At 41.5% G+C, this 16466-nt stretch overlaps 1 protein-coding gene across 1 annotated transcript in view; it reads right to left on the bottom strand.

Moving 5' to 3' along the window:
- Positions 1–16466, bottom strand: part of SYCP2L (synaptonemal complex protein 2 like) — an 87258-nt gene that overhangs the window by 63815 nt on the left and 6977 nt on the right. Inside the window, exons 4-11 of the mRNA NM_001040274.3 lie at positions 16291–16410; positions 12380–12484; positions 11647–11671; positions 7733–7818; positions 7532–7620; positions 4441–4475; positions 2811–2953; positions 295–347 (exon numbers count right to left, since the gene is read on the bottom strand). Of these exons, the coding sequence (NP_001035364.2) occupies positions 295–347; positions 2811–2953; positions 4441–4475; positions 7532–7620; positions 7733–7818; positions 11647–11671; positions 12380–12484; positions 16291–16410 (656 nt within the window). The remainder of the gene's footprint in view (positions 1–294; positions 348–2810; positions 2954–4440; positions 4476–7531; positions 7621–7732; positions 7819–11646; positions 11672–12379; positions 12485–16290; positions 16411–16466) is intronic.

Genomic DNA, 16466 nt, shown 5'->3' with positions numbered 1-16466 from the left:
GAAATTGTTCTTCATAAAGTCTATGAACTCTTTAAAGAATGTATTATTTTAAAATACCCCAAGTCACAAATATAATAAAACTGATAGAGGTAATTTTTAAACACACTCGAACAAGCCACTAGGCAGAAAGGGTCTGATCTTCTCAGGTTTCCACTCAATGGACAACTCAGTATACTCTGTAAATGATGTACCCAATATTCTCTCCTAAAATGAAACAGACCCTAAACTGTTCTTTTAAAATATTAGACATTTTCAGAATACAACTAGTCAATAATGCTCAGAGACACAACTTACCTTCTTTGGTCACCAAGTCTGTTGTTTAGGTGATTGAGAAAACGTCTACTGTCCTTCAAAGCAAATGATATAAACTTTTATTAAAAAAAAATCAAGATGTCTTAGTTAATACTACCTTAGCATACAGAGGCCAGTGTTTGCTTCTAAATGACCAGGAGGCAGTAACATCAATGAGGCTTTACAAGGATTTGTTATTATATGTTAACAATACTTCATGCCACAAAGAGGAGGCTCCAGGATCATGTTTCCAGAAGGAACCTTTGCTCCCTGCAGCCATTAGATTTTCAGCTGAGGAATACTTAGGTCTCCAAAAGTTAAATGCCTGGTTATGTTTCACTGGGTCAGAAGTGTAAGCAAGATAAATACGTCTTACTGATGACCTAGGTTACAATATTTGACCGACCCATTGGGCATCCACCTCCCTAACACCTGCACAGCACTAACCAACCACAAACCTACAAAATGTATTAACTGTGATCTGGGTGTATTATCTACGGCCAACTTTCCTTTTTGGGAGTTCTCTATCTCACTGTCTTCTCCTAGCATATGTTCTAAGAACAAAGACTATTATTAGAGTTCTCCTAACCAACAGCTCTCAGGAAGAAATCTGCTGCCCCCCAACATTCTAAAAACAAAGAGACAGATCCAAGTTTTTGTTCCCTTTTGTTAGCAAGAATTGACTGTTGCAGTCAACACTCCTTATGCTCCTGATCTACCATTCAGGAGTAAATAGACCTCAGCAGTGTAAGCCTTTCATGCAAAAAAGCAATTCGGGCCGGACGTGGTGGCTCTCGCCTGTAATCCCAGCACTTTGGGAGGCCGAGGCGGGCAGATCACCTGAGGTTGGGAATTGGAGACCAGCCTGACCAACATGGAGAAACCCCGTCTCTACTAAAAATACAAAATTAGCCGGGAGTGGTGGCACACGCCTGTAATCCCAGCTACTCGGGAGGATAAGGCAGGAGAATTGCTTGCACCCAGGAGGCGGGGGTTGCAGTGAGCCGAGATCATGCCACTGCACTCCAGTCTGACCAACAAGACCGAAAGAAACTCTGTCTCAAAAAAAAAAAAAAAAAAAAAAAAATTCAATTGAGAAGTTGATAGCTCTGGGGAAGGAAATGATTTTGGAAACAAGATAATTACATTTCTCTATTTTCATCAAATTTTCCTGCAAATGAGAAATGACAAAGAGCAGAAAGGAAATTAACACGTGAGCGCCTACAACAGCCCTGGACCTTTCAGTTTCTCTCACTGAGTTCTCAAGACTTTGAGGTGGGCTTTAGTCCCATTTTACAGATGAGGTCACTCAGGCTTCACAAGTCAACTACCTTGCCAAAATGCATACATCCCATAAATTGGAGAGGTGGGGCTCAAACTCTAGGTTCAACCCAGTTTGGGATAGCCCCAAAGCTCATGGTCTTTCCACTGAGATTATACTGAATCCTGGCTAAAGAATTACTTTATGCAGTATATGACAGTAGGCTCAGAGTCTGAGGAAATATAAAGGTCCATATTTCATAAGAGTCTTGATTACATAGGAATTTTGACGAGAAAGGTTTGTCAACATGAGTACTGTTATTAAGAATTCTACCTTTTCCTACAAGAGTCTAACCCTCATTTTAAAAACTTTTTAAAAGAAGAGGGAAAATGTTCTAGCTATTTTAAGATGAAGGTGAATACACAGCAAAGCCATACGCTATTTTTGTGCAGCCTGAGGACACAATCACAGGAAGCCCAGCTTGCAGAGAAGAAAAAAAAAAGTATTGTTTCTCCAAATTGTACAGGCCAGATGGCTCACAACACAACCACCCCATAATACTCTTCTGCCAGGCCATGTCCATTTCAGCCTCCTGCCATCACAGCAGCTGCCTTCTGCAAGGCAAAAATGCTCTGATTTCTTCTTCAATTCTTCCTACCATTCAAGGTTCATTGAAAATTGCTCACCCTTCCAAGACTTTTTTTTTAACTGGATCCATCAAATTCACCTAGTTCTGTCTCCTATAAAGAAGTCCTAGACAGACATGGTGGCTCATGCCTATAATTCCAGCACTTTGGGAGGCCAAGGTGGGCGGATCACCTGAGGTCAGGAGTTCAAGATAAGACTGGCCAACATGGCTAAACCTGGTCTCTACTAAAAATAAAAAATTAGCCAGGTGTGGTGGCAGGTGCCTATAATCCCAGCTACTTGGGATGCTGAGGCAGGAGAATCACTTGAACCCAGGAGGCAGAGGTTGCAGTGAGCTGAGATTGCGCCACTATACTCCAGCCTGGGCAAGAGTGAGACTCTGTCAAAAAAAAAAAAAAAAAACCTATCTGTATCCCTATATCTAGCTCACAAATATTCTGTTCATATTACCCTCAAATTGTTTCTCCTAAGTGAGAAACAAGTTCAAGAATGGCAGTGTAATCACACTTAAGCAAAAAAATCCTCCCGTAAGCCCAATGCACAGGAAAGTTCTCAGCGGATGCTTAATAAATATTGGCTAATAAGAAATTCGCATGGCCAGGAATCTCACCGTCTCAAATTCTCGATCCTTAATTTCTTTGAAAGCTTCAGCAATGACTTCATCATCAAACCATTTATGGACAAGTTCATCCCTTGATTTTTTAATCGTCAGTCTACACAGCGCTTCAGAAATAGCAACCTGCTGGTCATAATCTAGAGATTAAAAACATAGTAGACATAGATAATTCTGGGCACAAAGCAAAAGAAAAAATGAGTTCCAGATTTAGCACTTGCTCTAAGAAACTCCATCTGAGAAGCCTAGCATTGTGTCTTAAAAAGTTACCACAGCAAAATGCATCCTGGAGTAATTAGAATCATTTAAATTCTATTTTTTTTTTTTTGAGATTGTCTCACTCTGTCACCCTGGAGTGCAGTGGTGGCTGGAGTGCAGTGGCCCAATCTCGACTCACTGCAACCTTTGCCTCCTGGGTCAAGTGATTCTCCTGCCTCAGCCTCCCAAGAAGCTGGGATTACAGGCATGTGTCATCATGCCTACCTAATCTTTATGTTTTTAGTAGAGATAAGGTTTTGCCATGTTGGCCAGGCTGGTCTTGAACTTCTGGGTTCAAGCAATCTGCCCACCTCGGCCTCCCAAAGTGCCGGAATTGTAGGCATGAGCCACCATGCCTAGCCAAAATCATTTAAATTGAGTATTTAAGAAATACAATAAAAATCTAAACAAGAGGTTGGCATATAACAATTTTTAAATAAATAATATTTATGGGTGTTATATTTTAAATATATTAAAATACTCATTCAAACCAAATCATCAAACAGCCTTAAAAATGTTTCTACTGGCCAGGCGTGGTGGCTCATGCCTGTAATCCCAGCACTTTGGGAGGCCGAGGCAGGAGGATCACCGGAGGTCAGGAGTTCGAGACCAGCCTGGCCAACATGGTGAAATCCCCGTCTCTACTAAAAATACAAAAATTAGCCAGGTGTGGCGGTGCGTGCCTGTAATCCCAGCTACTCGGGAGGCTGAGGCAGGAGAGTCGCTTGAAAACGGGAGGCGGAGGCTGCAGTGAGCCGAGATCGCGCCATTGCACTCCAGCCTGGCCAACAAGGGCAAAACTCCATCAAAAAAAAAAAAAAAGTTTCTACTACAAAATAAAATCCCAAAATAACTTGTAGTATTTCACAGCAAATAAACTAAAACTACATGTAGCAACATGTTTAAATTTCAAACAATTCTAAGGGTAAAAAGGAATGGCATTTATAGAATGCTTTTAAAATCTGCAAAATGATAATGCATGTTGTTTAGGGATGTACAGAGTAAAAGTAGAAAAATATGCTTGGGAACGAAAAACAAATCTGAGTCAAGGAGAGGGAAATGGGATGAGGAACATGGACACAGGGGACTTTATCCATGACACTGTTTTTTTTTTCTTTAAAAACAGACTTGAAGCTAATGCGGTAAAATGCTAAATTGTGACAAAGCTGGCTGGTGAGTAAATGAGTACTCACGAATTATTCTTTACAGTTTCCAGCATGCTAAAATCTCTCAAAATAAATTTAAAATAAAACCCTGATTCCTATCTTCAATTTAACCATAATTTATTCCCCATAGTCCCAAGATGCTCATAAAACCCCCAGTGTCCAATATTTAATATTCTAATACTGAAAATTCTAAAATTTCTTACCACCCACAGTCAAGAGTGTCCTTGCAAGGTCTTTCCTGAAACATTTAGATAAATCACATTTAACTGAAGTGAACATCAAGAGGTAAAACTTTACTACACTAGCATTAAACTTTAAAACCAAAGTATATGTTTCTGAAACTATTTCAAATTCAGCATCAAAATTTCCTTAATGCCAACACATATTTATGGAAAAACCTTCTCAAGTTTATATATTAATGATCTAGATGTTATTTTTTAAGATGCTAGAACTACTATATACACTCTGAGGTTCTGTTTTCCCTCTTGTAAAGTGAATTCAATTTGATGATCTCTAAGGGTTCATCAGATTAATTCTGGAGTTTTATAATCACCGCACCAACCTGTGAGGGCGTATGTCCTTTTACACAGTTTGATACTTGCAGGAAATGATACGACAGTGATTCTTTCCTATGAGCTGCTTGATCTGATTTTAAAAACTAATCTAGGCTGGGCACAGTGGCTCACGCCTGTAATCCCAGCAGTTTGGGAGGCCGAGACGGGCAGATCACCTGAGGTTCGGAGTTCGAGACCAGCCTGACCAACATGGAGAAACCCCATCTCTACTAAAAACACAAAACTAGCCAGGTGTGGCAGCACATGCCTGTATTCCCAGCTACTCGGGAGGCTGAGGCAGGAGAATCTCTTGAACCCGGGAGGCGGAGGTTGCAGTGAGCCGAGAGCGTGCCATTGCACTCCAGCCTGGGCAACAAGAGTGAAACTCCGACTCAAAAAAAAAATGGTAATAATAATAATAATTTAGAGATGTAATAGAATTAAGTTATTACATTATTGTAACTAATGCAGACTCCTGAATTGTATATTCACTCAGAATTTCAAATAAATGCTAACAAGTGTGAGTCGATCTTCTTCTTTTTTTTTTTTTTTTTTTTTTTTGAGACCAAGTCTGGCTCTGTCACCCAGGCTGGAGTGCAGTGGCACGATCTCGACTCACTGCAATGCACTCTGCCTCCCAGGGTCAAGCAATTCTCCTGCCTCAGCCTCCCAAGTAGCTGGGATTACAGGTGCCCGCCACACCCAGCTAATGTTTTGTATTTTTAAGAGAGACGGGGCTTCACCATGTTGGTCAGGCTGGTCTCGAACTCCTGACCTCAAGTGATCCGCCCACCTTAGCCTCAGCCTCCCAAAGTGCTGGGATTACAGGTGTGAGCCACCATGCCCGGCCGAGTCGATCTTTTAATGCCTGAAATAACTCCCATTTTAAAGAACAGATTTGTTGAGAAACCTTGTGATAGTTCAGTCTCTTGTAAGAAGCAGCTCGACTTGTTACTATTAAATAGAAACCAGAAAACAGTACCACTGAGCGAAATTAATTCTGCTTAATTTTATACTTGCAGGTTTTACCTTTGAAGTCCAGAACATTCCAGACTTTCTAGAACACACAGACAATAAGGTAGTGTGTTCAAAGATTAGTTTGAAAACTTAGGAGAAAACATGAGATCAGCTGCTCTCCAAATCTAAATACACCACTAAGAGTAGTGATTTCACTAACGTATTAAATAAAAATTTGTTTAGGAAAAATTCTGTGTAAAAACTATATCCTGCAAAGACTAAATGGACAAACACGACAGCAGTGAGTTTCATGCTCACAAATCACCCATTTCAGGCCCTACACTGTGGCCACACACCACGCAAATAATGTGCCACCATGATGTCCTCCGCGCTGGCTGGTTGTTAGCGCAGTCGTGGGTTCAGGTTCCAACTTCAAAACACGGTGCTGGTTTTGTTGTTTGTATGGTCACACATTACAACCTTACCTCCAAATCTCATGTCCCAAGAATTACGCAACAATGACTTTGGGTCACCAACAAACAAAAAATCCATCACTTGAAAAGCAATCAAAATTCCATGCCCCATTAGTGTAGCTACTGGAAACCTTGGGGCACTTCCTCTTTAGCAGATAATGTGCTAATCACTTTACATGGATTGCTTGATTTAACCTTTACAATAACTATCAAGTAGTATTACTTTGACTCCATTTTACAGGCAAACAAACTGAGGTGTGATGAAGTTAGAGCTGTGCTCATAGACAGCTGGCAAAAGTGGCAAAACTAGGATTTGAAGCCACGCAGGCTCTACCGTCTGTACTCTTAACATTCTCCCATGAGTCACTAATTTAGTTCACATTCACAATGAAAAAATATAGCCTGAGAAAACATTTTGCCTCACAACGTTGAAGCAAAAAGAAAAAAAAATTATAATTATTAAAAAGGAAAAATCTAGGAATGTCTTTTTTATTTTTTTATTTTTATTTATTTTTATTTTTTTGAGACAGAGTCTCGCTCTATCACCCAGGCTGGAGTGCAGTGGTGCAATCTCAGCTCACTGCAACCTCCGCCTCCTGGGTTCAAGCGATTCTCCTGCCTCAACCTCCTGAATAGCTGGGACTATAGGTGTGTGCCACCAAGCCCAGCTAATTTTTTGTATTTTTAGTAGAGATAGAGTTTCTTTTTTTATTATTATTATTTTAAGACAGAGTCTCACTCTGTCACCCTCAGGCTGGAGCACAGTGGCGCGATCTCGGCTCACTGCAAGCTCCACCTCCCAGGTTCACGCCATTCTCCTGCCTCAGCCTCCTGAGTAGCTGGGACTACAGGTGCCCACCACCACAGCCGGCTAATTTTTTGTATTTTTAGTGGAGACAGGGTTTCACTGTGTTAGCCAGGATGGTCTCGATCTCCTGACCTCGTGATCCACCCGCCTTGGCCTCCCAAAGCGCTGGGATTACAGGCGTGAGCCACCACGCCTGGCCGAGATGGGGTTTTGCCATATTAGCCAGGATGGTCTCGATCTCCTGACCTCATGATCTGCCCGCCTTGGCCCCCCAAAGTGCTGGGATTACAGGCGTGATCTACGGCGCCTGGGCACAATGTCTTCTTTTTACCTCAGCCCGTCTTTATCACCTAGCATAGTGCCTGACACATAATAGGTGCACAAAGCATTTACCCAAGAGAGAAAGGACATAATCAGGTCTAAGTAGAACACAGACTGAAGCCATACACTCATGAGAGATTTTACCCTTACTACAGCACGTAACTTATACAAAGTCACTTACATAAGATGACACATGCCTTCTGACAAAGGGAATTTTTTTCTCTCTTCTCGAGGGACAGCGTGCAAAATGCAGTTAAAAGTCTTCAAGCCCTTTTTGGAATTGAGAAGACATTCATGGAGAAGAAAGAAAACAGAGACCTATGTACGATCTTCTTTTAGGTTTCTGGAACCACTATTACCTGTTTTGTTACTTGCAACTCACCTCCTGTTGAAGCAAATGATTTACAGTCTTTTCTGTCACCAGGAATCCTAAGCTAAGTAGGAAGGAATCCAACATCTGAATTTTCCCTGAAAGTATAATTTCAAAGCATCAAATTTATGTTTGGAAGAGTAAGAAAATGACTCCTACACACGGTCAGAGCTTTTCACTAAGGATGTCGTTCTGGCTTTTCTACAATATAACCCACTTTGCAGGCTGTGCCTCTTACAATCCTGTTGCATTGTCTTCTGGTATTAAGGGTTGTGAGCATGTGCACACACGCATACACGCGTTTATTTTCCATGGTTCTTGGTGACTTTTTTGAAACCAAATCTTACTTTAGCTCAGGAAAATTAATTCTCTGATACTTTTATTACAGCAGACTTTTTCAACTTTGGCAATATTGATATTTCAAGCCAGGTAATTCTTCTTCTAAGAAGAACTTGAGAACTGCTGTCAAAATGCAGGGGGGAAAGTGAGCGAGGAAAAGATGCATATGAAGATAAAAACAAAGATGTGACAGATAATCTTACAAAGAGGGAACAGAAAGTAACTGTAATGGACTTTTTGGTGGCCTCCCCACCATCCTTCCCCACTCCTCTGTTACGGAGCAATTGTGCTATTTGGGTGAGACCGATCAGTTCCAGGGGTAAATCTAGACTGGCTTAAACTAGGCAGAGGTGGCCCATTTATCCTTTCATAGTGACTGGTTCATCTGGAGGGCAGGGCATCCAATCAGAGCAAAGCTAGGGCTTTCATTTGCTGGTTGAGGAAAGTGAAACTTTCTCCCCAGATGTGAACCAGGAAGCACAAAGTTCTGGTTGCAACCAACAAGGAAACCACATTGAGAGCAAAGACTAGACTCTGAGAAAGGCAGAACTGAAATTTTGGGCTGCAGAGAAATGGGGCGGAGCCACGCTATTTCCAAACTGCCCACCTCTAGACTTTTCAGTCCCTTGAGCCAGTAAGTTGTCTTTATCATTTAAGCCTATTTGAACTAGATACTCTGTTAAATACACCCAAAGCACTCTACCTCAGCAGTTGTTGACTAGAGATGATTTTGCCCCACAGGGGACACTTAGCAATGTCTGGAGATGTTTTTGGTTGTCATGACGTGGGGATGGATGCTGTTGGCATCTAGAGGGTAGAGGCCAAGGATGCCGCCAAACACCCTCTGATGCGCAGGACAGCACCCACGACAAAGAATTACCCAGTTCAAAATATCTATATTGCCAAAATTGAGAAACTCTGCTGTAATAAAAGTATCAAAGAACAAATTTTCCTGAGCTAAAGTAAGATTTGGATTCAAAATAAGTCACCAAGAACCATGTAAAATAAACACGCTTTCAACCCTTAATATCAGAAGATAATGCAACAGGATTGTAAGGGGCAAAGACTGCAAAGTGAGAGTAATATTGTATAAAAGCCAGAAAGACATCTTCAAACGATGAAAAGCTCTGACCATGTCCCTCTCACAGCCTAATACTCTTACATTTCTTTAACACATTAAACTTGTTGTCATATACAAAGAAGAAGAAATAAGGTACCATCATTTTTTGATGTTAGTAATTAAATTAAGGGTAACTACCGGTAAAATAAAAGTAGGACATAAGCCATTCAAATCACTAGAGAGGGATAAACTGTGATTGAAAGAAAGTCATAATCCATATAGCAGAACACAAACAAAAGAATCATAAAAATAAGTAAGAAGACGTAAGTTTCAGAACAAAAAGGAAGGAGTGATTAATTGTGTCAATTGCAGAAGGAGGTGAGAAGAAATTCAGTGAAAACATCTTTCTACTTCGGAGAGAGGGATTAGACAGTAGCTCTGCAGAGCCTGGGCATAAAGCTCGCACAAGACAACTGTCAAAGGCCACATGTGAAAACCTGTCACTTCAGAGAGGCCAGCCCCGCTAAGGTGACCAGAGTGGGCTCCAAGCACAAACTGTCGTTGCTATAGATGGGACTGTGTCCCCCCCCGAAATTCATATGTTGGAGCCTTAACCCTCAGTGTGGTATTTGAGATGCAGCCTTTGGTAAGGGAAGTTCAGATGAGGTCACGAGTGTGGGATCCTCATGATGGGATGAGTGCCCTTATAAGAGCTCTGGCTCCGTCTAGGCGCGATGGCTCATGCCTGTAATCCCAGCACTTTGGGAGGCCGAGGTGGGTGGATCACCTGGGGTCAGGAGTTCAAAACCAGCCTGGCCAAAATAGTGAAACCCCATCTCTACTAAAAATACAAAAATTAGCCAGGCGTGGTGGCACACGCTTGTAATGCTAGCTACCCAGGAGGCTGAGGCAGGAGAATTGCTTGAACCCGGGAGGCAGAGGTTGCAGTGAGCTGAGAACGTGCCACTGCACTCGTCTGAGCCAACAGTGTGAGACTCTGTCTCAAAAAAAAAAAAAGAAAAGAAAAGAAAAAGAAAGAGCTCTGGCTCTGGCTCTCTGTCCACTTTGTAGCCACACAGCAAGAAGCCAGGTCTCTGCCCACCATGTAGGCATACAGCAAGAAGCCAGAAAGAGGCCATCACCAGAATCCAACCATGCTGGTACCCTAATCTCTTAATCCCAGCCTCCAGAGATAAATGTCTGTTGGCTTAGCCTCCCAATTGATGGCATTTTGTCATGGCAGCCTAATTGGACTAACACAGTCATCTAGAACAGTGTTTCCTCTACCAGGGGCAATGAAAGTCATTATAGCATTATGTGAATCCATAAATGCACCAAGCAATGACCGTAGAGTGAATATATAGCTCACATCTGCACTGTTTTTCAAATATGCAGTATATACATATTGTTGGGATTAATACAAAGCAAGTTTATTTTAAAATGTTACAAAAATCAAAGTAGTTTACCACTGTGCATTTTATCAACCAGTTTTAAAGACAGCAACTGTCATTGTGATGATCATAAAACTTTGACTTGAAAATGTTTGGAACCACTGACTTGAATTATGAGGACCAACCAAGTCAACCAAGTTTTAAAGTCAACCAAGCACAGGGCATGCTTAAGCTTCTGGTACTGAATTTCCTCAACTACCAGATACCATCCATTGCAGAATGTAGTGTCAATTAATGACAGCCTTTCAGAAGAAAACTAAAAACATGTAACATAGAAAAATGACATATCAAGATGGCTCCAATTTCCAAAATGTTTAAATATTTAAGTGCATCTTTGAATCCATGGTATCATAATTCAAATGTCAAATTACTTTTTTTTGAGACAGGATCACGCTGTCACCCAGGCTGGAGTGGAGTGGCACGATCATGACTCACTGCAGCCTCAAACTCTGGGGCTCAAGTGATCCTCCCACCTCACCCTCCCAAGTAGCTGGGACTACAGGTGCAGGCCACCACACCCCAATAATTTTTTATTTCTTGTAGAGATGGGGGTCTCACTATGTTGCCCAGGCTGGTGTCAAACTTCTGGATGCAATCAATTCTCCCTCCTCAGCCTCCGAAAGTGCTGGGAATACAGGCGTGAGCCACCACACCCAGCATAATTACCTTTAATTTGAGCTAAATGGAACAAAATCAATCTATCCTCCAAAGTTTCTAAAATTTTACCTTTTACACTCTTGAAAGACAGAGAAAGGCATCTGAATCAGCTCCAAGTTAAATCAGTAGTAGCTAAATTTTTGCATATTTGAATGACAAAAGTGACTTTCCATTACCTGAACAGAGCTAGCCATATGTCAGGAGCAGCGAAATAAAAATGCTTCTCAGACAAATACAAGACTTTTTTCTACAATGAAATGCATTTCCAAATGACACTATGATGACCATAAGGTGGTCAATAAATCCAAATAAAATGTTTAAACTCACTTTACTTTTACATATCATTTTTCTTTTCTCTGTGCCAGAATATTCTATTAATGAAAAATTAATAGCCAATTAGTAGCCAATAATATACTTACCTTCACTACTACTCCTGGAAATAATCTAACAAAAAGAAAGAAAAAGTAAAGCTCATATTATTTTAAAACAGCATGATAAACCGTAATGTGAATGTATTAGTGTTAACTTTCTCTAACAGGCAGGCATTGACTTTACAGAAGAAAAGCATTTTAGAGAAAGCCTATCTGGGCCTTAATCACTTCCTTAAAATGTGCATATCACTCTCAATCAGGTGACTAATATATTTGTATGATAATAAATCACCTCTCATTTTTAACATCGGTTATATATGTTTCTTACTATATCACATATTAATAATATTCTAATAATAAAACACGAGAGTCTTTTGTTTTGAGACAGAGTTTCACTCTTGTTTCCCAGGCTGAAGTACAATCGCGTGGTCTCGGCTCACTATATAAGCTCCGCCTCCCAGGTTCAAGCGATTCTCCTGCCTCAGCCTCCCAAGTAGCTGAAATTACAGGCGCCCACCACCACGCCCGGCGAATTTCTGTATTTTAGTAGAGATGGGTTTCACCATGTTGGCCAGGCTGGTCTCGAACTCCTGACCTCAGGTGATCCACTCACCTCGGCCTCCCAAAGTGCTGGGATTACAGGTGTGAACCATCACGCCCAGCCATGTGAGTCTTTTAACAAAACTTACATATTATAGAAAACCATGTTTTATAAATAACTTGAAGATTCCTGCCAATTACCAATGGCATCTGCTCAGTGAAGCATCCATCCCATCCTTACCAATGCAGTGTCAAAGAAATCTTCTATAACACAAATCAGCGACGTGTCTGAGGCTAGGCCTTCCGAGGTCAGAATTCCTGTTGTTCTTTCAAACCAGGAAACTAGGTACACAGGAGGACACTAACGTAACTACATAAGACTAAATGCTGCCTATTCAATAAAATTGCACAAGACAATTTTCTCATTACAACAAAATAATCTTAAAGATCTTTTCCCATTCCATTCCATTTCAATGAGGCCTGGCTCTGAGGCCTCCCACCAGAACACTTCAGGATGGTGCCATACTACTACAGAGCTGTCATAAGTAAGCTCTCAGAGATCAGCACAAAATAAGAGTCCCAGCCAGGATCCGTGTCAGAAATTCATATAAAGGGACTAGTGAGGAACATTTAAGAGATAAATGAGGCCAGGCGCAGTGGCTCATGCCTGTAATCCCAGCACTTTGAGAGGCCGAGACAGGTGGATCACTTGAGGCCAGGAGTTCAAGACCAGCCTGGGAAAGATGGTTAAACTTCGTCTCTACAAAAAATATAAAAATTAGCTGGGTGTGGTGGTGCACACCTCTAGTCCCAGCTACTTGGGAGGCTGAGGTATGAGGATCACTTGACCCCAGAAGGTCAACACTTTAGCAAGTGCTGTGATCACACCACTATTCTCCAGCCTGGGGAACAGAGCGAGACCCCACCTCCAAAAAAAAAAAAAAAAGAGATAAGTGAGCCTCCCCAGCACAGGTGGAAAAAAAATCTTGCGATCTGAGAATCTGCTGAAAACAAACTATCAAAGAAGACACAGAATTTGGAAAGTTCTCAGAAGTATTCTTGATTATAGTAAATATGCCTCAGGCCTAGGTATCTTTCTTTCGTTAAAAAGCTTCCAGCTAATTAGAGAATTTTTTCCTATAGGAATACATATCCAATTTCATATTAAACTGCTGGGATTGGAATGATTTAAAATAAACTTCTGCAACCTTTCCTCCCCCACTCCAGAATATACAGTATTTCCTCAATAAAGCAAAAGCCATCTTATTTTTCCCATGATTTTAACTGAGACTGGTCACTCTTAGAAAAAAAAAAATTAGAAAAACTCCGCATGCATAGTTAGAAATTATCAGCTGAACATGACATCAGTCACATGAGTTTCTGACGAACAACTCTTGCAGGAGTCAGGCCTTCAAAACTCTGTATACTTTGGGCCAAGAACCTGAGACAGCCCAGCTGAAGATAAAACCAGTTTTCAACCTTGGCTGTACATTAGGAAAACCTGGGGAGTTAGGAAACATCCCCCACTGCTGAAGCCTGGGACCTATCCCAGACCCAGTAATCAGAATCACTGGTGATACACCCCCACCTGAGTTTTCTATTTTAGGTTTAAGAACGTTTGTGAGAGCTCTCCAGGTGACTGTAATGTACAGCAAGGTTTGAAAGCCATTACTATCTTCCAAGTAAGGTTTCTTTTGTCTCAAATCAGACAAATACTTATACTAGATTGAATCATCCACCTGCTGAAGGAAGCTTTGCTCCAATAGCACAAGAAAAGAAATGTCCCTCTACGCAGCAGAACTCACTGCTAAGGCTGTATTTTCTCCCTCCCTATGTTCATACTCAAAATTCTATGCTTTTTAAATACATTTTTGTCACCACTCCATCTATCCCTCCAAAGCCTATCGCACTCCCAGCACCCTCCCAGCACCCTCCCAAATATACTGGTTGAGGAGATACAGAAGTGGCAGAAAGGCTGCACTATCTGATCAATACTTGGGAACAGGAAGTTCTCACTGAACCCATTTATGTGCCCTGGTCACACATTGTCTAACAGACATCCCAGCTCTCCCCACAGTTGTATCACTACAGAAGCCAGACACAACAGCCATGACTTCTTAGGAATATGGTATCAGAAAAGTTGCTTAATCCTCCTGGATTTTACGGTACAGGACTAAAGATGTTCCTTTCTGTAGGGCTTGTTTTGTTTTGGAGACAGGGTCTCACTCTGTCACGCAGACTGGAGTGCAGTGACACCATCTTGGCTCACCACAACCTCCAGCTTAAGCAATTCTCCTGCCTCAGTTTCCCAAGTAGCTGGGATTACAGGCATGTGCCACCACTGCCCAGCTAATTTTTGTATTTTTAATAGAGACAGGGTTTCACCATGTTGGCAAGGCTGGTCTTGAACCCCTGACCTCAGGTGATCTGCCCACCTCAACCTCCCAAAGTGCTGGGATTACAGGCGTGAGCCGCCGTGCCAGGAATTCTTATTCTATGTAGTAGAAGAACTTCCGAGCACACTTTGTGTTCAGTCTGCAAACACAGTTGTCTTTAGAAGTATAGAGTTGGCCAGGCGCGGGAGCTCACGCCTGTAATCCCAGCACTTTGGGAGGCCGAGGCAGGGGAATCATCTGAGGTTGGGAGTTCGAGATGTGGAATATGATGAGGTTTCTCTTCGAATAATCTGATCAATCTTTTATTCTCTAATTCATAGTACCCCCCCCTTTTGTTCTCCTTTCTCCTTTTTGCCTTTGTTAGATGCCCAGGCACGCCACGGTAGCAAGCGTTATCAGTACCAGCTCACATTCCTTTCCTTATTTGAAAAGAGGACTAACTTTCTAGCTCATTACAGACACCCCTTCCCCTTCCTCTCCACTTTCTCTTACATGCCCACCCTATCTAAAAAGAAAAAAAGGAAATGTTTAGCCAACCGGAATTAGATTGTACGACCCGACCCCGGCCAATGGGGAAAGGGTACAGGGGCAGGACTTGCGTCAGGAATAAAGGCCCTCGTGCCCCTTTGTTCAGGTGTGCTCTCATGGCAACTGGCCAAGGAGGTACCCCTCTGCGCAGAAGAAGTCCTATTCATACCCCAAAAGGTCAGCTTAGGGTTCCAAGGTACACTTAGGACATCTCTGCCTCATTTCCTTTGAGATTTTTATCTCCTTTCCCCTGCTTCCTGTTATCTGCAGAAGTTGGCGTATCAACAGGTCAAGTGGGGTTATATGCAGAACGAAATATATACGGTTTGCATAAACACAGTCCTTAATTCCCCCTGCAAACACTTTAAAGTCCCTGAGAGGAGTCTGGGAAAGCCTGGAGTTTGCTTTCTCTCCTGAGGGGGTAGCTTCATAATTAGACGCATTTTAGAGTAACAAAGGGCAAAGACAGATCTTGGCCCAATCTGGCCTCAATAAACTTCTGGTACTGGAGCTCAAGGGGTAAATCAAAGACATTATTAGCAGCCAGATGATCCTTCCACCCTACTTCTTCCCCACATCTCCTCGTCAATAAACAAACTTGCCTCTGGGCTGCAAAAACCTCACCACTAAAAGAGCGGAACTGCAGCAAGAGATGTTGCAGATTCTGCTTTACTTCCAGATGCCGTTATAAAGGCACTCGCCATGTTATCTCTTGGTTATTATTTTTAAAAGAATAAAAGCTGATAATTTGGGTAACTTTGAATAAGCAAAAATGTTTCTGCTATTTGTTTTTTCAGATTCATCCAAGGTTTAGAAAATGGATAAAGTGAGGTGTTACAAGGGCAAAGAAAAGTTTTTGACGATCATTTTTCTAGGTCTAATCTTGTTAATAAAGTCTATTAAAATAGTTCTAGAGCCTACTCCTACTCATTTTCCCCCAAATTCACTAAAATAATTTAAAATAATAATTACTGCATAGGCTCAACAAGGGCAGTGGTTGTGTCTGACTCGATCCTGTGCACTCCCAAAGTGCCTTCTATAGCAGGTACATCAGGAAATGTATGTCGAATTTAATTTTTGGTTAGACAGAAGCAATAAGAATGGATATCAATTTCTTTTCAAATTGGATTTCAAAGGAACAGAAAATACCAAACTTAACTAGACAACTAAATCCACCTAAGTTCTCTAAGTTACCCAAAGCCATATAAAATTAAAATAGGACACTTATCTTTGGGATCAGTCCCTGCCGAATTAGCAGAGGTTCATCTTCTTTCAGGCCATCTACGAGGAATCGCTGAATACATTTCAGCAACAGTGACACAGACTGAAATTCATTTTTATCTAGTTCCTAGGTATAAACCACACTAAGTTAAAACACTTATAAATAATTATACATTTGTATTT

This window comes from Homo sapiens, chromosome 6, assembly GCF_000001405.40.
Source record: "Homo sapiens chromosome 6, GRCh38.p14 Primary Assembly".
Lineage (NCBI taxonomy): Eukaryota > Metazoa > Chordata > Mammalia > Primates > Hominidae > Homo > Homo sapiens.
The sequence above is the reverse complement of the archived record's forward strand: the minus strand, read 5'-3'. Positions and strand labels throughout refer to the sequence as shown.